Source organism: Homo sapiens, chromosome 4 (assembly GCF_000001405.40).
Source record: "Homo sapiens chromosome 4, GRCh38.p14 Primary Assembly".
NCBI lineage: Eukaryota > Metazoa > Chordata > Mammalia > Primates > Hominidae > Homo > Homo sapiens.
The window spans coordinates 91,086,706-91,111,745 of record NC_000004.12 but is presented as its reverse complement, the minus strand read 5'-3'; the positions used below and the strand labels follow the sequence as shown (position 1 = coordinate 91,111,745).

Genomic DNA, 25,040 nt, shown 5'->3' with positions numbered 1-25,040 from the left:
TTTTATTATTACAGACTACCTCATGAATTATAGAGTATTAACTCTACATTGGTAGAGTTTTCAGGATGGAAAAGAAGAGTTATTCATGCTACTTAATACCTACAAATTTATGACCTCCTAAAATATATACAATCTTTATTTTATTTTTAAAATTCAAATTACTCCCTTTTATGTCACCTCCTATGTTAGCAGAAATTATGAAAAATACTTGTTCTATCAATTAATTGTATTGTCCAATGACTAATATTTTCTATATGCCAATGCACAGTTTCTTGGTCCTCATATTCATATATCACTTTTGTGTCATTTTAAAGAGTGTCCTTCCTTAATTATTACACATTAGTTTAAATACCATTTAACAATGTCATTTTAAAACCTATGTACTAAATCCACATGCATTACATAACTTCAGGCAATCAGTTAATCTTCTTTCCACCTGAATCAGCCTTATTTATTCAAAAGGGAATTACAGTTCAAGGTGGTCACATTAGATAAAAGTGATGAGTGTCTGCAGACCTTGTATAATTTAATTTTGACAAAGGATAACGGGTAATTTAACCAGCTGAGTTTGCCCCATAATGCAACAGCATAAACATGCTTTAAAATTCACTTGAATCACCAGCTTTAAAATTATGAAACTTGTCAAATTAAAAAAAATTCAACCACATTTAAAAATGGTTCCCATAAAATCAGGCTATATACTTATTTTTCTCACTATATCAAATTTTAATTTTAATAACTCAAATACACCTAAGAAGTGCCAACTATTATCATCATCTATATATTTAAGTAGGATATTATGGGAAGAAATTAAATTAAATATACTTACCAACTTTTACTGCTCTATTTATTTCTAAATGACCCCAAAATATAATATATGAAAGGCAAAAGGAAAAAAAAGAAGAATGAATGATCTATGTATGCAGAAAGAAACCAGTATCATTTGCTGTAAACCCAACTCTTAATGATCTTAAAGAAGAAACAACATTCAACTCAACAAACATTTATTGGGTACTTACTACATATTAGAAGCCATACTAGGTTTTATGAATATAAGTTGAATAAAACATTGTTCTCTAGGAACTCATAGTCTATTTGACAGACTGACAGAGATAAACAAAAAGTCACAGTACAATGTGATAAGCACAATATTACAGAAATAAGTGTCAAGTACTATTTTTGCAACTAGTAATTCCTGAGAAGTTTCTCCGTGAATAGGCCACTATTCAGTGTGGGATGTGGTGTTGAGTAAGTGGCTTTACACTTAGTGAGTAGAATGTCTACTGTCTTATTAATTCAAAGTGAAGTAACAGAAACAACAGTATTTAAAACTTTCCTAGTGAGTATTTTTATTGGTACCAGATATTGAGGTCATCATTTTTATAGGCAATTTTATTTTATCTATTCATAACAATCCTATAAGGAGCAAGCACTAAGTTTATTTTTTTCCTAGTGAAGAAACAACTGAAATATGAAAAGATAGGCAACTTGTTCAACATCACATTGCTCACTGACTCCATGTGTCTCAACAAATGTGTTAATTTTTTTTTAAATTCCATTTTTCTAGAATATAAAGTAAATCTACATTTCACTAAGTTTTTACATAACCAAGCATAGGACAACACTGATGATATGGTTTGGCAATGGTGTCAGATAACAGGTAGATGAGTTAAAATTGCTAAATTTCTTTAATTTGCTTAGTTTTAATCTAAGCAAAGGGCAGAACTTGTATAAGAAGCTCCAAAATACGTGCTATATAAAAAGTTTAATATACTATCCTGCCTTCTATTATATAATCATTCTTTGGTTTTGAGATAATTTAATGAATTTTTGTGTCATAGATGTCTTTGTCTGAAAAACAATACAACATATACAAAATTCTAATAAATTATTTTATGACCCTTTGTGAAACCATGGGCTCCATTAATGCCTAAATCTTAGCAGTTTTATTTGACTGGAGTTCTACATTAAAACATTTATGAATTACTCTGAAATGAATATTGAAGTTACTATATTCTCCAGGTAGCATCTAGTTGTTTTAAATTCCTTTATTTGCCATATTCTTAAATACACTTTTCACATTCATTTTCTTGTTGCCAACTCTTGAACTATTATTTTCAACATGACTATCACCTGTTTTATTCCATCAAAAGTCATTCATTAAAAAAGTCATATTCTTTTCAAGGCAAAATTGGAAGATAATTTGCTTTACTTAATGCTTTTGATCTCTCTACACTTTTGACACTTTTTTTTTTTAACTTAGGACTACCTACCCTCAATAATCTTTGGGACCTTTGCTTCCAGAAAATATACTAGGGCTAATAAGTTACTGTATTAGTTAGGTTTCTCTGGAGAGATAGAACATTTAGGAGACAGGTTAGATAAGGTGGTGGGTAGGTAGAAAGGTAGGTAGGTAGATACATGATAGATTGATACATCAATCAATAGATAGATAGATGAGAGGGGATATATTAGGGGAACTAGCTGAAGAAATCATCGAGCTTGAGAAGACCCTTGCTAGTCTGTCTGTGACCTGGAGAATAAGGGAAGCCAATAGTATGGCTCAGTCCTAGTCCAAAGGCCTCAGGACTAGGGAAATGGATGCTGTAACTCTCAGTCCAAGGCTAAATGCCTAAGAATGGGGTGGGGGTGTTGCTACAAGTCAGAGTCCAAGGGCCAGAGAATCTGGAGTTCTGATGTCCAAGGCAAGAGAAGAAGGGTGCCCCAGCTCCGGAACAGAGAAAGCAAATCTGCCTTTCTTCTGCCTTTTCATTCTATCTGAGTCCTCAGCTGATTTGATGGTGCCCACCCACACTGGGTGAGGGCAGATCTTCCTTATTCAGTCTACTGATTCAAATGCCAATCTTCTCTAGAAACACCCTCGCAGACATACCCAAAAATAATACTTTACCAGCTATCTTCGTATTCCTTGATCTAGTCAAGTTGACACCTAAAATTAACCATCACAGTTACTAAATATAACTTGTCAGAGGAGAAAGCAACAGTTTTGATAGGCCACCATTGGAAGCAAGAAATGAATAAAGAAACACTTGTCTATTTTTGATAAAAAAGAGGCTAACAGGTTGTATACAGTATGCACAGAACCTTAAAATTGACTGCTTGTGTTTCAACAAATATGTTAAATTTTTTAAGTACTATACGTCAGAGTATAAAGTAAATCTGCATTTCAATTTATTTTTATATAAAGCATAGGAGAACACTTATGATTTGGTTTGACAATGGTATCAGTTAATAGGCAGATGAGTTAAAATTGCTGTATTTCATTAACTTGCTCATTTTTAATCTAACATTCTGAGTAATTACAAATAAAAATACAAATTCGAATAAGCCATATATTTTCTCTCAACCATTTTAGAGGATACTCTTCAAAGTTCTATTTGTGACTATCTACCCCAATGCCATATAGAAATGGACAAGCAAATATATTGTGAATTTTCATTTGCAGAATATTATCTGATCCCTGTCTCTATAGCTTACAAAAGAGATTTACAGGCCACAATCAGGAATCACATATTGGCAATGATTTGATTTAAGAAATACAATGGATTAGATATACATTGGATCAGTAATATATAGAGAACTGTTTTAATTTACTATATTGTTAACATTTGTCTCTCTTCATAGGGTTAGTTGCTTTTAATCAATGAAAGATAAGACTTTCACCTCACTTCACTGAAATAGACTTGGATGTCTACTTGGATAACTGAGAAGCTAACTTTTCAATGATGGTCAGGACATCGGTATGGCAGAAATCAAGAGAAAATCAAAAGGAAAAGCTGATAGAGTCTACAAACTGCTTGTTTCAGGCAAATTTCTTATTTTCCTCACTCAATCCCTACTGATCAAAAAATAACAAAAGAAAATGGAAATGGTAGCCCAGCACTGCCCAACCTTAATTCTAGAAGGGCTATTACTGACATAACTTCCCTAACCACAGTGCCTTAATGTCTTTCCCACACACAATATTTCCAGATCATGAGAATCTTCTATTATATTACTGGTGGTAAATGTAAAAGATAGGCTAAATGGTGCTTTTATCATTCGAATTTTTTCTTCTTTTCAAACATCAAAAAAAAAAAAAAAAAGAGAAAAAGAAAATGCCTTTTTCTTAAACAAATTCCTGTTACTAAAGCATAATTACCATCATGCATTGCTTAACCAAGGGAATACATTCTAAGAAATGCATTGATGCCTGTAATCCCAGCACTATGGGAGGCCAAGGCGGGTGGATCACGAGGTCAGGAGATTCAGACCATCCTGACTCACATGGTGAAACCCCATCTCTACTAAAAATACAAAAAAATTAGCCAGGCGTGGTAGCATGCGCCTGCAGTCCCAGATACTCAGGAGGCTGAGGCAGGAGAATCACTTGAACCTGGGAGGTGGAGGTTGCAGTGAGCCAAGATCACGCCACTGCACTCCAGCCTGGGTGACAGAGCGGGGCTCTGTCTCAAATGAAAAAAGAAATGCATTGTCAGGTGATTTTATTATTGTGTGAACATCAAAGATTCGACTTACACAAACCTAGATGGCATAGGCTACTATACACCTAGGCTATGCGGTATAGCCTATTGTTCTCAGGCTACAAACATGTACAGCATGTTATTAGACTCAATACTGTAGACAACTGTAACACAGTGTTAAATATTTGTGTATCTAAGCATATCTAAACAGAGAAAAGCTACAGTGAAAATATGTTATCAAAGATAAAAAAAATACACCAGTATAGGGTAGCCCCATTACAGTCTTATGAAACCACTGTCATCTATGCAGTCTATCCTTGGGCAAAATGTCATTCTGTGGCACACGGCTATATTTGATTGAATCATGTAGCTGAACCTGGGAAAATTATACCACATTGTCAATAATTAGAAGTTATAATTCATCTATAGAGTAGATAGCTGATACCATCATTTGGAGGTTATCATGGAGGACAAAGTACAAACAAAAAAAGTAAAGAGGCTATCTAGCTTGCACAGAGTACAGTGGTGTGGAATTTGAGAAAAGAGAAATAGAATAAATAACTGTCCATTTTCCAAAAGACAGAGACCAAGACCAAATGGATGCACCTGACACATAAGTTTCTATTCTTTGTAATCCAACAATTCCAAAGCACATCAAAATAGTAGTTATAGTCATGTCTTGGATGAGATAACACCTATAGGCAATGAATAGGTAGGCAAGATAGACAGACCATGGGAAAGAGTAGAAAAAGAGGGAGAGAGAATAGAAGTGTTTAGTTAAGTGGAGATTAGTTAATGCTCTCAAGGAATGCCATTAGTCCAGAATTATTCAGTTGTGGTATGTCTATTAATTTCTCTCCTTATAAGTCATAGTGTATTGTTTAAGTTTTACACTGGAGACATATTTTCTAGCTTTGAATTCTGGCTTCCTGGGCTTACTAACTATGACTTCGGGAAAGTTATTCAAACACTTTCTGATTTCATTTCTTCTGTATTAAAATGAGAATAATCGTGACTATTTCTAAAGTTTACTGGAGAATTAAATGATTGAATATGTGTAAAGTGCTTACAACAACACCTGGCCCATGATAAGCACATAGTAAATGCTAACTCATTTTTTATGGCGAAGAGACAGGACCCTGTTTTTCTAGTGTTCAGAGTGAAATGTATCTTGCCACAGTCCTACAATTCCTTATCTAACATTCTGAAGGTCAAATGTATCTGGTAATTCAGAATTACTTTGATTATCAGATAATAATACAGAGCATTTACCACATTTTAAAAATATCCCCAGTAAGGTTTGGAGCAGCAGGCTGTACAAAACACTTTGATGTTTCTGCAGCAAAACATATAAATGTTCATGTGAAGTGAAAAAAAAACAAAAACCGTAAGTAGGTCTTTTAGTTTAGGACAGGTTTTTACCATCAAACTAGCTTGAGCCTCCCTTTGAGGAAAAAATAAACCAGTTTTCAGAGCACTTGGAATATCATAATTGCAGACAGGGAACTGTTTACAAGGGTTATTTTATTTTTATTTTGTTATTTTTATTTATTTTTTTGAGATGGATTCTCACTCTGTCACCCAGGCTGGAGTGTAGTGGTGTGATCTCATCTCACTGCAACTTCCTCCTCCCAGGTTCAAGCGATTCCCCTGCCTCTGCCTCCTGAGTAGCTGGGACTATAGGCATCCACCACCACACCTGGCTAATGTTTATATTTTTAGTAGAGATGGGGTTTCACCATATTGGCTAGGCTGGTCTCAAACTCCTGACCTTGTGATCCGCCCACCTCTGCCTCCCAAAGTGCTGGGATTACAGGCATGAGCCACTGTGCCTGGCCTATTTTTTTTTTTTTTTGTTTACTGTTAGTGGTTGGAATTTGAATGTGATCAAGTTTCAAAGTTATTGAAGAGAACAAGAAGCTCTTGGGTAAATAGCAGAGGGCAAAGAGGAAGCCCTTTTTTTGAGGGAAACAGATGATGTAGTCATATTACTTGTAGTGTATGTTATGTCCTCCCCTAATTTATACGGTAAAGCCCTATCCCCCAGGACCTCCTAATGTGGTTATATTTGGGGATAAGGCTTTTGAAGGATAATTATCTGACACAGAAAAGAAATACTTCATGTTCTATCATATAAGTGGGAGCTAAACTCTATATGAAGGTAAAGAGTGAAATGATAGACAATGGAGATTCAGAAGGGTAAGAGGGTAGGAGGTAGGTGGATGATGAGAAATTACTTAATGGGTACAATGTATATTATTCAGGTGAAGGATACCCTAAAAGCCCTGACTTCACCACCACACAATCTATGCATGTAACAAAATTACACCTGTACCACATGAATTTATACCAAAAAGAAAAATAAAATGAGGCTGTTAGGCTGGGCTCTAATCCTATCTGATTATTGCCCTTATTAGGAAATTTAGACACACAAAGGGACACCAGGGATAAGCAGAGTAAAGAGCATGTGAGAACACAGCAAGAAGGTGGTCATCTGCAAGCCAAGAAGGGAGGCTTGAGGAGAAACTAAACCTGCTGATTTTGAGCTGGCATAAAAGATTTCTAGCCTCCAGAACTGTGAAAAATTAAAATGATGCTGTTAAAGTCACCTACTTGGTGGTAATTTGTTATAGCAGCTTGAGCAGACAAATGTAGTGTATAGTAGCAATTCTACTTAAAGCTATTATTTTGAACACAACTATGACTTGTATAAGACTGAAAGTCTCTTACTGGGGGAACCCACCCCCAATATTTCAACATAGGTTCTGTCTATTTTCCATAAGTGTTGGCCAGCTGGGAAATAAAGAGAGATAGTACAAAGAGAGGAATTTTACAGCTGGGCTGCCAGGGGTGACATCACATATCGGTAGGACCGTGATGCCCACCTGAGCCTCAAAACCAGCAAGTTTTTATTAAGGGTTTGAAAAGGGGAGGCAGTGTAAGCACACGGAGTAGGTACAAATATCACATGCTTCAAAGGGCAAAAAGCAGAACTACCGATAAGGGTCCAACAAAAATCACAAAGCAAAGGGCAAAGCAGAACTACTGATAAAGGGCTATGTTCAGTGGTGCATATATTGTCTGGATAAACATTTTAAACAACAGAAAACAGGGTTCAAGTGCAGAGAACCGATCTGACCACAAAATTACCAGGGCAGAGTTTCCCAACCCTAGTAAGCCTAAGGGTACTGCAGGAGACCAGGGCTTATCTCAGTCCTTATCTCAAATGCATAAGACAGACATTCCCAGAGCGGCCGTTTATAGACCTCCCCCCAGGAATGCATTCCTTTCCCAGGGTATTAATATTAATATTCCTTGCTAGGAAAAGAATTTAGTGATATCTCTCCTACTTGCATATCCATTTATAGGCTCTCTGCAACAAGAAAAATATGGCTCTTTTTGCCCGACCCCGCAGGCAGTCACACCTTATGGTTGTCTTTCCTTGTTCCCTAAAAATCGCTGTTATTCTCTTCTTTTTCAAGGTTCACTGATTTCATATTGTTCAAACACACGTTTTACAATCAATTTGTACAGTTAACATAATTATCACAGTGGTCCTGAGGTGACATACATCCTCAGCTTACGAAGATAACAGGATTAAGAGATTAAAGACAGGCATAAGAAATTATAAAAGTATTATTTGGGAACTGATAAACGTCCATGAAATTATCATGATTTATGTTCCTCTGCCACAGTTCCAGCCAGTCCCTCCATTCGGGGTCCCTGACTTCCTGCAACAGTCTCTAATTCTTGGATTTTAATCTAATTGAGACAATTGTTTATATAATAGTTTGACAACACAATGTTTCTTAGGAGCTAAAAAATTAGAAATGCATTTTTTTCATTATTAGGTAATCTTATTTAAAAGGTTCCGATGACATATAGGTGAGGATGTGGTGATCACTGGGAAGGAACTGAGGGGCCCCTTTGGTATGATTAAAGGACAATGGTAAAAACTCATCAGAAGTGCTCATCTTTCATGGGGCTGAGTGACGACCAATGGCTGGAGATTGTTTCAAAGTGCTTGGAGGATAGGATGTGAACAGAGAATGGACCTAATGTCAAATAAATGACCTCGAAGGAGAGATGACTAAGGAATGGGAAGAAATTTGGAGATCTATTTCCAAGCTGAGAGAAGGGCAGCAAAGTTCTCCAGAGAAGAGCAGTGTTTTTCCGTTGTGGGTTTACAGGAACTAAATACGTTACACAGCAATGCCAAAAATTAAAAAGTGTAGATAGTTTACACAAGGATTATTTGTTCAATATGAAAATATAAACCAAAACAGAAAAAAAATCTTACTATGATATGATAAGTATCAAATAATGAAAATGTTTGTTTTCTTCTCTATATTTTTGAGGTGGCAATTAGCTTCTATTTGTAATTAAGAAGGGAATCATAAGAGTTCAACCTCATTTGGATATGAATAAATACTTTTCTGATAAAAGCAGGCTGAATCAGTTCAACCATCTGGAGTAGTATTTTCTTTTATATTAATTGACATAGTTAAAGAGCAAGAAATAATTACATGATCAGTTGCACACACAAAAACACTGTAAGTTTGTTTATGAATATACTTTCAAATAAATATGTGATGAAGCAAAATAAATATTATCATTTGTTTTTTGCCTTTTCAAATAAAAATATCTCCAAGGTTTAACTGATTCTAAAAATAACTTATGTGCCTTATAAAAACGACATCTAAATGCATATTGATTCAAAAGTCAAAATCCTTCTACTGTAATCCTTCTTGGTCCTCATCTCTTTGTAAAATCCGCTGTAAAGCTACAAAATCTTACTTATATCCAGATTAAAAAGAAAAGACATAAACAAGAAAAATATGCTTCATTTCAGAACCCTGAAATCACAAACTCTAACCTTGCTGTACGAAGCTACAATGTCATAAAATCTGCCTAATCCCTGCCTATTCTCAACCTTGCAATACCTCTCTTTAACTAACCCAGCCTGGATTTTAACATCTTACAAAATATCTTCCCTTAATTTTCCCATTTAGAGACTTACAGAAACTTTGTTAATGTAGTGTTCTTTTTTTATTGCATGGGATCTAACATACCTAGCTTTGTTCAATCAACAGATTTTTTTCATTCTGGTCTTTTGTGGCATCAACAGTGAAAAAATTGTAGAGCTATAACACGGGGTGAATTGAAACCGATCTGCACGAGCTCCTCTGTCTGAAACATGTTTCTCTGAGGCCTCATAAGTCTCCCCCATTCAGGGGTCTGTCTGACTGCAAAAGTGAGGAAAATCCTGCTTTGGGTCTAAATTTATTTTTGTCAGTCTCTCAAATACAAAGTTTCTGCCTCTTAGGAATGAGAATGCTTTTTAAGTAATCCTTTGATTATTTAATCAACTTCAAATCCACTTATCCGTGATGAGAAACCTGCTCTGTTACTTAGGACACTACTGTTTGTTTTTGTCACTCTCTGAGTCACTAAGAGGTATAGTTCTAAAGACTCAGGAGTTCAGAAGTTCTTGATGTCCTTTAGACAAATTACTTTGATTACCTTTTCAAAACCTTTCTCAATCTTGTCTTCATTTGTTCCACTTAGTTTTATTTTGCTTGGAGGTAGAGGGTTTGTCAGGCCCCCAACCTGGTCTTTTTTTTTTTTGAGACGGAGTCTTGCTCTGTCCCCAGGCTGGAGTGCAGTGGCACGATCTCAGCTCACTGCAACCTCCGCCTCCCGAGTTCAAGTGATTCCCCTGCCTCAGCCTCCCAAGTAGCTGTGATTACAGGCACATGCCACCATGCCCAGCTAATTTTTGTATTTTAGGAGAGACAGGGTTTCACCATGCTCAACCTGGTCTTAAACCAGGTTCTTAAGAGGTTGCCCCAGCAAAATTTTCATGTGCTCTTATCAGTTCTTTTGACCTTTCAGGTCAAATTCCTGCTTACTTTTAAGTTTAACTTATGTGTGTATGTCTCCAACTGGCATAATCCTACCAGGTACAATTTAAATTAGTGTCCCTTTTGGGGAACTCTATCTTGGAAACATGATGGTTGAACTGTTTCTTCATGTAATTGATTAGTGCTCAAATTACTGCTTAATCTTGTTGTAAGTATTATTTTGTGTGGCTTTCTATGCATGTGCGTGTCTATGTATGTAATGGATTTCTTATATTTAAGGCTGTTTTATCATCCCACAGTGATTTTGTGTCTGTCAGAAGCTGGCTCCCCCTCACTTGTTTCCCTTCCTTTCTCTCTTTTTTTTCCTGTTTGTCTTGCAAAGTATTTTTCTGTCACTATGTGCCTACTCTAGGCATATATCTGATCCAGATAACCAGTCAAACACTTCCAAAGAAGAAGAAAAAAGTTAAACTGAGTGTACTGTTATTTTTTTCCCCATTTGAGACACTACTGTGATCTTTCTTACTGAAGTAGATCTACTAAGCTTAGTTTTGCTTGATCAACAGGTTTCTTTGAGGTCATTTCTTGGAAGGTCAGTGATCTACAAACATAGAAGAGATCTTCAAAATCCAATCTGAAGATGACCCAGAACATATATAGGATGTGAAAAACAGCTTACAAAACCTATAGTCCTTAAGCACTGCCTTCAATAAACAATGCCATAAGTAGAAAAGGTAAATATTTTTTCTCTCATCTGTAATATAACATGTGGAAATAGAATATTTGAGGTTAAATAAAGATTCCAAAGTAGAATTTTTTGCCATATTTGGGATTTGCTACCTCAGAACCGATTTGGAATGTAAAATCCTTTAAAAATCAGACCTGGCATAGGATATCATTGATTGTCATGGTGTGGACTAGTCAACGCAGACAGTAAAATCTCTGAATAGCATGACACTCAAACACTCTCTGACAGAAGAAAATATGAAGGAAAGACCTGATTATATAAATAATAATAATAATAATAGTAACTGTTGCCATGTATTGGGTGCTTCCTATGTGCCAGACACTACTCAAAGAGCTTTATGCATATTAACTCATTTTCTCAACAAACTTTTGAAACAGGAACAATTATTATGGTCTTGTAATGTGTAGTTCTTTTAATTAAATGTTGATTTATAATGAGGACCAAACTGATTTTTTTTTTATCTTGCCCAAATTCCTATATAAAGGGTCTGGGGAGTCATGCCCTACAAATCATAAATTCTCATCAGATGGGTTTTATTTAACTCTATATATTGTGACTTACTTTCCAACCTGACTCTGGCATAACATTACAAGACAAGGAAGAAAATCAAAATATTTTACCCCAAAACATGTTTCTTTGCCATGTCTTGAAATGGCCCTGCAAAGCTGTCTTTTGTGGAGGAAAATCAGCATCTGTAAAGAATCTCTACTAACATAGCTAGTTTTTTTTCTTCCTGGCCCTCCCAAGCCTAAAGAGATTAACTAAGTCTGCACCTTTTAAAGATCTGAATAGGAAACCCTTGTCATCTATTGTCTCTAAGAGCAGCCACTATAAGACCTCAAAAGAACCTTGGTCTCCACAGTCTTTTATCTTAACCTGAACACTTCCTTTCTGTCATCCCAGGTCTTTAGATAAGCTCAACCAATTGTCAAACAGAAAATGTTTAAATTTACCCATAGCCTGGAAGCAGTCCCCACCCCACCCCCTGCTTTGAGTTGTCCCACCTTTCTGGACCAAACCAATGTATTTCTTAAATGTATTTGATTGATGTCTCATGCCTCTCTAAAATGTAAAAAACCAAGCTGCGCCCCAACTACCTTGGACATGTGTTCTCAGGGCCTCCTGAGGGCTATGTCATGGACCATGGTCACTCATGTGGCTCAGAATAAATCTCTTCAAATATTTTACAGAGTTTGACCCTTTTCATTGACAATAAGTATAAAGATCGTTTACTCTCCTTATTGCCTATCAATTCTGAGTTTTGAGATATTTTTTACTGAGTCCTTAAAGGGTCTCTTGATCTTAAATTCACACTGTTCATCAGATACATCTTAGTGGTGGGCTATAGGCACCAAACCACTGAAAAATTCTATATATTTCCCAAAAAATTGTCATCACTGATATTATACAAGATTTTCTTATTCTACTAAACTATACAGAAACTAAGAATGGGATCTCTAAAGTTGAACTGAAGTAGAAAAATTCAAGATAGTGTATTCTGCATATTAGACCATAAAGAAAACATACAAGTAGAAGCAAGTTTTGCACAAAAATTATCAAAGAAAACTTGTAATCATGATCAATTTCTTATGGAAGATTCTTTTTATTCAATGCACAAGGCTATAAAATAAGTATAGTTATCTCCTATAATTTCCAAATTATACAAAATACTAGACCTTAAGGGAACAATAGTGCTTAATGATTTTTGCTAACTCTTATTTCCAAGAATAGTACATTTTCTTCAATTTTAGTTCTAGTCTTGGAAGTTGTGTATTTTTCTTCTTTTATCCCTTTAAAAAAACAATTCTCAGCTGGGCGCGGTGGCTCACGCCTGTAATCCCAGCACTTTGGGAGGCCGAGGCGGGCAGATCACGACATCAGGAGATCCAGACCACCCTGGCTAACATGGTGAAACCCCATCTCTACTAAAAATACAAAAAATTAGCTGGGCGTGGTGGTACATGCCTGTAGTCCCAGCTACTCAGAAGGCTGAGGCAGGAGAATGGCATGAACCCGGGAGGCGGAGCTTGCAGTGAGCAGAGATCACACCACTGCTCTCCAGCCTGGGCAACACAGCAAGACTCCATCTCAAAAAAAAAAAAAAATTATCTCCAGTGATCTTTTGGGCAAGAGAAAAGAGTGACTTTGCTTAACTCAAGCAATAACCTAGTCCTAAAGTAGTCTGATTCATAATTCTAATTAAGTTATAAATGGAAAGAGAAATTGTTTGTGATTTTTATTTTGTTCCAGTTGAAATCATTCTTGTGCTAATGTTGCAGGTTGGCAAGTTACTTTGAAATTCAGAATATAATTTATCTGATTCTCAGAATTTTCTCTTTTGGAGAGAATTAAAATGATTTTCAATTTCAAGTAGAAATATTTAATTCCTCAAAAGATAAACAATGCAAAGTCTATCCAAGTCTATTAGCAAAGGCATAAAGTCCACTATCAGAATAAAATAATTCCTTTCTTTAGGATGTTATATATTCAAATGATACTTTACATCAATAAAGAATCTTGAAGTATTATTTTCAATGATTAATGAATGTAAATATAAAACAGGGCTGGGAAAAGAGTACTTAACTAAACATTGATTTTCAATCTGCCTTTTTCAACTGTCTCTAATTATGTTTCTTTAAGTCTCTGAGGTTTGTATCATCAGTAATTTCCTATTTATGGTTTTCAGCAAAGAAAATGGAGAATCAGCACACTGTAATCCAGCAGAGAAAGTTAGTGAAGCATTCTGGACTCTAAAACAGATAACAGGTTATAAGATATGCTCATTATTTTCTTGAGAATGATACATTCATAAATCATCTATTTTAATAATTTAAAATGTACACTTTTTTCCTAAGTGTCTATAAGAATCTATCTGTACTTGCAATCCCACAAACAAAAGTGGGATTTTTAAATATCAATGGCATGATCACACAAATATCATCAACTGAAAAATTTCCAAAACACAAGCGGGGATTTTTGCAGTAATGGAATGAGTATGTCTATAAAGTTATTGATCATATTTCTAAATACTTCTAGAAATTATCTAAAGTGTTAATTCTCTTTCTGATGTTTAAGAAGCATTTTTATAATCAGTTTTATAAGAGTATAAACTATCTAAAATATTCAAGTGTACCAATATTAACCTTTTTTCAGAATTTCAGATTAATAAGATCAACATTATCCCTGCCAAGACTGTTCATCACTTTAAGAGATCTGAGTCATGCAAATTATATAAAAGTGATCCTTGATCACTACACATTTGTACTTCATTTGCATAGCCTCTATGGTTCCTGAGTTTCTGTAACTTCCAATAACAGCCTTAATCCAAAAGTTCCAATAGCCAGTGTCTTTCATATTAGCTTATCACATTCAATAGAATTTCAGAAGCTAAATATTTATTCCTGATTTAGATATTCAACCATAATTATTAGTTCTCTTCATCATGATATAAAGTCACATATCATGTGATTTTAGACCTGTGATACAGAATATTCAGAATACCGATGGTTGGGCATTTTTGAGGTAGGGTAAAAATAAAGACAATCCGCCATTAAAAAACTGTGCACACAGGCACCGGCTGGACACTGGGAAGGACCTGGCACTTGGAGTCCGGACATCTGAAACTTGGTAAGACATGTCTTTGAAACTTGCCCACTCCATTTAAGTGGAAGCGTGGCCTGATCACCCACGGTGTGCCTGTGTCGGCACTTCTGTTCTGGTTTTGACTTGACTTGAATTGCCTGATACTTTGGTTTTGGTTTTGACTTGGCTTGAATTTCTTGGTACTCTGATTTTGTTTTGGTATAAACGATAAAGGTGTGTGTGTGCCCTCTTTACCTGTTCTTTGTTTTGTGGTGAGTGTGTGGTGTGAGCATGATATTTTGTCTTCAGAAAACATGGGCCAGGCAAAATGTAAGCCCACTCCATTGGGAACTATGTTAAATAATTTCAAGAAAGGATTCAAAGGAGACTATGGAGTCACTATGACTCCAGGAAAACTAAGAACTTTGTGTGAAATAGATTGGCCCGAATTAGAGGTAAGTTAGCCATCAGAAGGAAGCCTGGACAGGTCTCTGGTTTCAAAGGTATGGCATAAAGTAACTGGCAAGCCAGGACACCCAGATCAGTTCCCATATATAGATTCCTGGTTACAGCTAGTTTTAGATCCCCCATAGTGGTTAAGGGGACAGGCAGCAGCAGTACTAGTAGCAAAGGGACAGTTAGTTAAGGAAAGTTCTCACTCCACCTGCCGAGGGAAGCCAGCCCCTAAAGTTCTGTCTGATTCAGAGCCTGAAGACTCATGGCAGGAGATGGCACCAACAGTGCCCCACCTTTACCAAGTGGAAAGGCCCCCTACTCCTGAGCCCACAGCCCCTAGACCACACAGAGTAGACAAGAAAGGAAGAGAAGCTGCAGGAGAAACTCCTCCCTTGGCGGCCCATTTACGGCCCAATACTGGAATCCAAATGCCCCTGAGAAAGCAGCAATATGCTGGGATAGATGAGGATGGACATACAGTGGAAAGGTGTGCTTTTTATATTACCCTTTCACCTCTGCTGACCTCCTCAACTGGAAAAATAATATTCCATCTTACACTGAAAAGCCTGAAGCTCTAATTGACTTGCTCCAAACTATTATACAGACTCATAATCCTACTTGGGCTGATCACCACCAGCTACTCATGTACATCTTTAACACAGATGAAAGGTGAAGGATACTCCAGGTGGCAACTAAATGGCTAGAGGACCATGTCCCAGCTGATTACCAAAATCCTCAGGAATACATAAGAATTGTTCTGCCAGGAACAGACCCTCAATGGGATCCAAATGAAGGACCAGATATGGAGAGGTTAAAACGATACTGGGAGGCATTAATTGAAGGGCTGAAAAAAGGGGCTCAGAAGGCCACCAATGTAAATGAAGTTTCTGAAGTCATCCAAGGAAAGGAGGGAAGCCCAGACCAATTCTATGAAAGACAGTGTGAGGCCTATCGTATGTACACTCCTTTTGATCCGGATAGTCCTGAAAATCAGCATATGATTAACATGGCCTTAGTTAGCCAAAGCATGGAAGATATCCGGAGGAAATCGCAAAAACAGGCTGTTTTTGCAGAGATGAATACCTCGCAGTTACGGGAGATAGCTGATCAAGTATTTGTAAATAGAGATGTAACAAGCCGCTGAGAAAGCCATAAGGAGGGTGAAGGCCAGGCCAGGCAGAACACTGATTTGCTGGCTGTGGCAATTAGAGGGATCCCCCCCAAAGGGCAGGGAAAGGGGGGTTCCAGGAGGAATGCCCAGTCCAATCACTCACATGTGCAGTGTAACCAGTGTGCCTACTGTAAAGAAATAGGACATTGGAAAGATAAGTGTCTCCAACTAAAGGAGAAGCAAGGTGACGCACAGCAAAAGACCACAGATAAAGACGAAGGGACTTTGTTCAATCTGTTCGAAGGGCTACTAGACTGAAGGGGACCGGGCTCAAATGCCTCCAAGGAGCCCATGGTCAGGATGACAATAGGGGGCAAGGACATTAAGTTTTCGGTTGATACTGGTGCCGGACACTCAGTAGTAACCACCCCAGTGGCCCTCTTATCAAAAAAACCATTGATATAATTGGAGCAACGGGAGTCTCCGCCAAGCAGGTTTTCTGCCTACCTTGGACCTGCTCAGTGGGAGGACATAAAGTGACTCATCAATTTCTGTATATACCTGATTGCCCCTTGCCTTTTTAGGGAGAGACTTGCTTAGTAAGCTGAGAGACACCATTTCCTTTACAAAACAGGGCTCTTTACAACTGAAGTTACCAGGAACAGGAGTTATCATGGCCCTTACAGTCCCCTGAGAAGAAGAATGGAGACTTTTTCTAACCGAGCCAGGTCAGGAGATAAAACCGGCTCTAGCTAAGCGATGGCCCTGAGTATGGGCGGAGGACAATCCTCCAGGGCTGACGATCAATCAAGCCCCAGTACTCATACAAGTTAAGCCTGGGGCTCAGCCAATTAGACAAAAGCAGTATCCGGTTCCCAGAGAAGATCTTGAAGGAATACAGGTTCATCTTACATGCTTGAAAGCTTTTGGGATTATAGTTCCTTGACAATCTCCATGGAACACCCCCCTCCTACCTGTCCCCAAGCCAGGGACCAAGGACTATCGAACTGTACAGGACTTACGCTTGGTTAACCAAACTACAGTGACTCTACACCCAACAGTTCCTAACCCTTACACACTGTTAGGATTGCTGCCAGCTGAGGACAGCTGGTTCACTTGTCTGGACTTGAAGGATGCCTTCTTTAGCATCAGACTAGCTCCTGAGAGCCAAAAGCTGTTTGCCTTTCAGTGGGAAGATCCGGGGTCAGGTGTTACTACTCAGTACACTTGGACTCGGCTTCCCCAGGGGTTTAAAAATTACCCCACCATCTTCGGGGAGGTGTTGGCTCGAGACCTCCAGAAGTTTCCTGCTAAAGACCTAGGCTGTGTCTTGCTCCAGTACGTGGACAATCTTCTGCTAGGACACTCCACGGCAGATGGGTATGCCAAAGGGACGGATGCCCTGCTTCGACACCTGGAGGACTGTGAGTATAAGATGTCCAAGAAGAAAGCTCAGATCTGCAGACAGCAGGTACGCTACCTGGGATTCACTATTCGGAAAGAGAAGCACAGCCTGGGGTCAGAAAGAAAGCAAGTCATCTGCAGCTTACCGAAACCTAAAACCAGAAGGCAAGTAAGGGAATTTCTAGGATCTGTGGGGTTTTGCAGATTATGGATTCCAAACTTTGCAGTGCTAGCCAAACCGTTGTATGGGGTTACAAAGGGGGGCAACTGGGAGCCTTTTGAATGGGGACCTCTGCAACAGCAAGACTTTTGCAAGTTAAAGGAAAAACTTATGTCAGCCCCAGCCTTAGGACTACCAGATTTGACAAAGCCCTTTACACTCTATGTGTCAGAAAGAGAAAAAATGGCAGTTGGAGTTTTAACCCAAACTGTGGGGCCCTGGCCAAGACCAGTGGCCTACCTCTCAAAACAGCTAGACGGAGCTTCAAAAGGCTGGCCTCCACGTCTGAGAGCCCTGGCAGCTACAGTCCTGTTAGCATAAGAAGCAGACAAGCTAACCCTTGGGCAAAACTTAAGTATAAAGGTCCCCCATGTGGTGGTGACTTTAACAAATACCAAAGGACACCATGGGCTAACAAATGCTAGATTAACCAAGTACCAAAGCTTGCTATGTGAAAACCCCCGCATAACCATTGAGGTCTGTAACGCTCTGAATCCTGCAACCTTACTCCCAGTATCAGACAGCCCTGTTGAACATAACTGTGTGGAAGTGTTGGACTCAGTGTATTCTAGCAGACTCGATCTTCGAGACCAGTCATGGGCATCAGTGGACTGGGAGTTATACGTGGATGGGAGCAGCTTCATCAGTCCACGAGGAGAAAGATGCGCAGGATATGCGGTGGTAACTTTGGATGATGTTATTGAAGCCAAACCATTGCCTCAGGGCACTTCAGCCCAGAAGGAAGAACTCATTGCTTTAACTCGGGCTCTAGAACTTAGTGAAGGTAAGACTGTAAACATTTATACTGACTCTTGATATGCCTTTCTAACCATTCAAGTATATGGAGCATTATATAAAGAAAAAGGCCTATTAAATTCGGGGGAAAGGACATAAAATATCAACAAGAAATTCTACAATTATTAGAGGCAGTATGGAAACCCCAAAAGGTGGCAGTCATGCATTGCAAGGGACACCAGTGAGCTTCCACCTCAGTGAGCCAAGGAAACCCCTGAGCAGACACAGAGGCAGGAAAAGCAGCATCTACTCCTTACCGGGCATCAGTCACAGCCCCCCTACTCCCTCAAACACCTGATCTGGTGCCTACTTCTTCTAAAGAGGAAAAAGACTTTCTTCAGGCAGAGGGAGGACAAACAATAAAAGAAGGGTGGATACAGTTACCAGATGGAAGAATAGCTGTGCCACAGCTGCTAGGAGCTGCAGTCATGCTGGCTGTACATGAAACTACCCATTTAGGCCAGGAGTCACTTGAAAAGCTGTTCAGCCAGTATTTCTACATCTCACACTTGCCAGCTCTTGCTAAAACAGCAGCACAGCAATGTGTTACCTGTCGACAGCACAATGCAAAGCAAGGCCCCTCTGTTCCTCCTGGCATACAAGCCTATGGAGCAGCTCCCTTTGAAGATCTTCAAATGGACTTCACAGAGATGCCCAAATGCAGAGGTAACAAGTATTTACTGGTTCTAGTGTGTACTTACTCTGGGTGGGTAGAGGCTTATCCAACATGAACTGAAAAAGCTCATGAAGTAACCCATGTGCTTCTTTGAGATCTCATCCCTAGGTTTGGACTGCCTCTACGGATTGGCTCAGAAAATGGGCCAGCATTTGTGGCTGACTTAGTACAGAGGACAGCAAAGGTATTGGGACTCACTTGGAAGCTACATGCCGCCTACCAACCTCACAGTTCCGGAAAGGTGGAGCAAATGAATCAGACTATCAAAAATAGTTTAGGGAAAGTATATCAAGAGACAGGATTAAAATGGATACAGGCCCTTCCTATGGTATTATTTAAAATTAGGTGCACCCCCTCTAAGAAAACAGGATACTCCCCTTATGAAACATTATATCATAGGCCTCCTCCTATACCGCGAGGACTTCCAGGTACTCCCCAAGAGTTGGATGAAATTGAATTGCAGAGACAGTTACAGGCCTTGGGGAAAATTACCCAGACAATCTCAACTTGGGTAAATGAGAGGTGCTCAGTCAGCTTATTCTCCCCAGTTCACCCTTTTTCTCCAGGTGACCGTGTGTGGATCAAGGACTGAAATGTAGCTCCCTTACGGCCACAGTGGAAGGGACCCAAGACCGTTATCCTGACCACTCCCACAGCTGTGAAGGTAGAAGGAATTCCAGCCTGGATTCACCACAGCCACATAAAGCCCGCAGCCACTGGAACCTGGGAGGCCAAACCAAGCCTAGACAATCCCTGCAAAGTAACCCTGAGGAGGACGACAAGCCCTGCTCCAGTCACACCCGGAAGCTGACTGGTCTACGCATGGCTGAAGCATGAGGAAAATAGTCGTGGGACTTATTTTCCTTATAACATGGACTGGTGTGGTAAAAGCTTCCACTGCTTCTTCCCACACAGAGGACTGCTTTCAGTGCATATATCAGGTCACTGAGGTAGGACAACACGTTAAGACAATTTTTTTTGTTCTATAGTTATTATGAATGCCTAGTAATTCCAAAAGGAACATGTTTGTATAATAACACTCAGTACAAAGTCTGTAATCCAGGAAGTGACCAGCCCGACGTGTGCTATGACCCCTCTGAACCTCCCATTTCCATAGTTTTTGAAATCAGATTAAGGACTGAAGACTAGTGAGGACTCATAAATGATACAAGTAAAGTATTAGCCAGAACAGAAGAAAAAGGGGTGCCCAAACGCATAATCTTATAATTTGACGCTTGTGCTGTCATTAATAGAAATAAGCTAGGAGCAGGATGTGGCTCTTTTAATTGGGAAAAAAGATACATGACCGAAAATAAGTACATCTGTAGGATTGTGTGGAAAAAAATGTGGGTACTGGTCATGTGTCATTTGGGCTACTTGGGAAAAGGATGAAGAAGATCCTGTTTGGCTCCAAAAAGGGAAAGGAAGCCCCTCCTGCATGAGTGGAAGCTGCAACCTTTAAGAATTAGTAATCACAAACCCCTTGGACCCAAAATGGAGAAAAGGAGAGTACGTATCTCCAGGCATTGATGGAAAAGGACTAGACCCTGAGGTAAATATTTTAATAAAAGGAGAGATTCGAAAATGCTCTCCAGAGCCAGTATTTCAGACTTTCTATGATGAACTAAATGTGCCAGTACCTGAAATTCCAGGAAAAACTAGAAATTTGTTTTTGCAATTAGCCGAGCATGTAGCTCAGTGTCTAAGTCACTTAATGGTATGTTTGTGGAGGAACTGTAACAGGAGATCAGTGGCCATGGGAAGCCCAAGAATTAGTTCCTGCAGACCCAGTTCCTGATGAATTCCCAGCCCAAAAGAACCACCCTGACAATTTCTGGGTTCTAAAAGCCTCAATTATTGGACAATATTGCATAGCTAGAGAAGGAAAAGAATTCACTCATCCTGTAGTAAGGCTTAGGTGTCTTGGACAAAAACTGTATAATGGTACCACAAAAACAGTTACATGGTGGAGTTCCAATTACACAGAAAGAAATCCATTCAGTAAATTTCCAAAATTGCAGACTGTTTGAGCCCACCCAGAATTCCGCCAGGACTGGATTGCCCCCAGCAGGTTATACTGGATATGTGGACATAGAGCCTATGCTAAGCCACCTGATCAGTGGACAGGTAGCTGTGTAATTGGCACTATTACACCACCTTTCTTCCTACTGCCCATAAAAACAGACAAACTCCTAGGATTCCCTGTCTATGCTTCCCGCGAAAAATGAAGCATAGCCATAGGTAACTGGAAAGATGATGAATGGCCCCCTGAAAGAATTATACAATACTGTGGACCCACCACTTGGGCACAAGATGGCTCATGGGGATATCGGACCCCCATCTTCATGCTCAACTGAATCATACGGTTGCAAGCTGTTTTAGAAATTATTACTAATAAAACCTGTCAAGTCTTGACTGTTCTTGCCCAGCAAGAGACTCAGATAAGGAATACTATCTACCAAAATAGACTAGTTCTGAACTACTTGCTAGCAGCTGAAGGAGGAGTTTGTGGAAAATTTAACCTTACTAATTTCTGTTTCCACATAGATGATCAAGGGCAAGTAGTTGAAGACATATTTAAAGATATAACAAAACTGGCACATGTACCCATGCAAGTGTGGCACGGATTTGATCCTGGGGCCATGTTTGGAAATTGGTTCCCAGCAATAGGAGGATTTAAAACTCTTATCATAGGAGTTATAATAGTAATAGGAACCTGCTTACTACTCCCTTGTTTGCTACCTGTACTTCTTCAAATGATAAAAAGCTTCATCATTACCTTAGTTCACCAGAATGCTTCAGCACAAGTATATTATATGAATCACTATCAATCTATTGCACGGGAAGACATAAGTAGTGAAAATGAAAGTGAGAATTCCCACTAATAAAATGAGTGAGAGTCTCAAAGGTGGGAAATGAAAGAAGAGAGAAAGAGATCCCCCCATATTGTTTTATATTGTTTTATATTCAGTACCTGCTTTAAGAAGAAACAAGGAAGTGAAACCAAAGGCAGGCAGCCCAGAGCCAGGCACCAGACCCAAAACCAGGCCTGGGCCTGCCTGACCTTAGCCTGATAGTTAAAATTCAACCCATGACCTAGCAACCGATATTATCCACAGATTCCAGACATTGTATGGAAGGACACTCTGAAGCTTCTCATTCTGTTCTGTTTCACTCTGATTGCTGGTGCTTGCAGCCCCTGTCACATACCGCCTAGATTGTTCAATCAATCACGGCCCTTTCATGTAAAATCTTTAGTGTTATGAGCCCTCAAAAGGGACAGAAATTGTGCACTCAACAAGCTCGGATTTTAGGATGCTAGTCTGCTGATGCTTTCAGCTGATTAAAAGCTACTTCCTTCACTACCTCGGTGTCTGTGGGGTTTTGTCCATGGCTCGTCCTGCTACAGGCACACACAGAAGCTTTAATACTTAAACAAAAACTGGCCTTTGGAAAACAAAAAAACTACCTAAAATAACAAAGGTATTTTAAAGTCTTTTAAGAAAAATTACAGTAACTTAGTATTATCCACACTTAATGAAAAAAAAAATGACTTATCTATGTGTCTTACCCAGTGAATTTCACTGAGGTTTTTCTATGAGTTGCAAAATCCCACTGGATGCAAGAAAATTGTTTATAATCAGTTAGAAATATCTGTTAAACAATCACATTTTGTATAGCATTCTACTAATCTCCCTTTTTAAACAAGCTTTTTATTATCTATTATAATCAGCCCCCTCAAATTGTATACACAATATGCACGTATAAAAATGTAAAAATACCAATATAAATGGGGTTATTTCATACAGCTAATAACTATTTTTGTATATTTCACAATTTAGCAATTTAGGTGTTACCTATCTCTATTTCCTTCAGAAAAGTAATTTACATTTTAATCACTTCTCCTTAACTTATATTTTTATACAGCATATAGTTTCAAATCTAGCCTTCCTGTCTGGCAATTCGTTTTTTAATGGTATTTACCACTTAGCTAAATAGCATATTACTGTCTACTTCATTTTCTATGAATACTCTGTTTTCATTACTTCAATAAGTAAATAGAATATTTTAAATGACACTTCTTAAATCTTCTTATAAATATTTGGTAATAAGCCCTTGATATTGCATCCATCAACACCTATGGGGAATAGCTGTCATTTGAACTAAGAAATTAATTCATCATAATAAACAATTATTGTCATTTATCAATCATAATAGCATTACAATGAGAAATTCTAAGAAATCATTTGGAGTAAGAGTTTTCTAAACCCTCACATTTCAATTTAACATAATCAGAATTACATTGTACATCTTGTTATGCACACACATCCTAGAACATAACAAATGGAAATTAGATACATACACGTCCCATTTCTTAAGCAAGTGAGATCACAAGGTCCTTAACATAGTAATTGTACTCTTTGTTTACAGGTCATCTACCATTGAGACTTGAAAAGAACAGTTTTTACAACATACTTCACCTAATTGTCTTATACCTCCCTGAAGTTTCTTATCTTAGAACATACTAGGCCTCTTAGTCACAGGGAAAGTTAAGGTAAGTAGTTACATTGAATAGAAATATGCTTAAGTAACCCAGTGCTGCCCTAAGTGGAAGTTAAGTAGTTGTTTTGAATTTTAATAGTTGACATTTACTTTCTGGTCATGAATTAGAGATGTCAAGTGCAGAAGACATTACTGGATTATGGTTAATTTGATGATCTTAGCTTTTTACAATTATTCCACTACCCTGAGGGAGAAGGCCAAAATCAGTGTTGTCCCTTCTATGGAGATGTATACATTAAATTGTAAATTATTACAATTTTGACCTTCAGAGAAATCACAAAATAGTTTTGAGAACAATATACTTCTAAAATTAATTTAAACACATTTTACCATGTTCCTTACTTATAAGTACACTTATAATAAAAATAAAATCAAAGGACGTTAGAAAAATAAGCAATATGATTTAAGAGCCACTCTTTCAATAAAACCCAATCATTATGCATTTAAAAATAACATTAAAAACTATAAAAATCTTAGTAAAACAAATGCAGAATTTGGCACCATTTAGCAATGCCATCGTACGGATATATAGATTTCAGTTTTCCTTCTTTTGACACAAAGTTGCTATTAGACCAGGAAGCAGCAAGGAGAAGCCGAGTAACTCCACTTAGTATGTCCCTAAAGGCACTAAATCAGCAGAAATAAATTGTAGCAGTACTGCTCGGATGAAAACTTTCACTTTAGGAGGTGATCAGTTTAGTTCTTTCTATAAGTAGATCCATTTTGGTTACATCTGAATGAAAGCAGTCATTCTCACAAAGCTGTAAAAGGTTCTGAGATCTTCCTTATGAAGTGCCTTTTTTCCCCAGTCATACTGATGACCATATTCTTATCATCTTGCTCTCCTACAACATGAAAAATATCTAAAGATTTATCTATGTTTCACTTCATCTAGCTCTTCCATCAATGTGAACCAACTTTATGTGTTCCTAAATAAAAATAGATTTTTCTGGATGGAAAATATCTGAGAAAATGGAAAGAGACCTTAAATGACAAATTCACTAGGAACTAAAATGTCAAATACTAAAATCATGCAACTGGAATTAAAACATAAAGGAAAGCTGGCAAGCACCACTATAGGGAAGAAATCTGTTTATACAGAAAGGAAGCTACAAATGGAGAGGACAGTAAGATTTT

At 38.1% G+C, this 25,040-nt stretch overlaps 1 protein-coding gene across 12 annotated transcripts in view, besides 1 other annotated feature; it reads right to left on the bottom strand.

The window, feature by feature from the left end:
- Positions 1-25,040, bottom strand: part of CCSER1 (coiled-coil serine rich protein 1) — a 1,477,902-nt gene that overhangs the window by 493,550 nt on the left and 959,312 nt on the right. Inside the window, exon 12 of one of the 12 annotated variants that reach the window (XM_011531941.3) lies at positions 988-24,748. The exons of the other annotated variants lie outside the window; for them this stretch is intronic. Within the exon in view, the coding sequence (XP_011530243.1) occupies positions 24,713-24,748 (36 nt within the window). The 3' untranslated portion in view covers positions 988-24,712. Of the gene's footprint in view, positions 1-987; positions 24,749-25,040 lie in introns of those variants that run through there. 12 annotated transcript variants of the gene reach the window in all.
- Positions 11,534-12,337: an enhancer, noted in NCBI's record as "OCT4-NANOG hESC enhancer chr4:92020560-92021363 (GRCh37/hg19 assembly coordinates)". NCBI's record gives its function as "activates a minimal SCP1, AML or CMV promoter by ChIP-STARR-seq in naive H9 embryonic stem cells {active_cell/tissue: H9 hESC(naive)}" and the evidence as "EXISTENCE:reporter gene assay evidence [ECO:0000049][PMID:30033119]".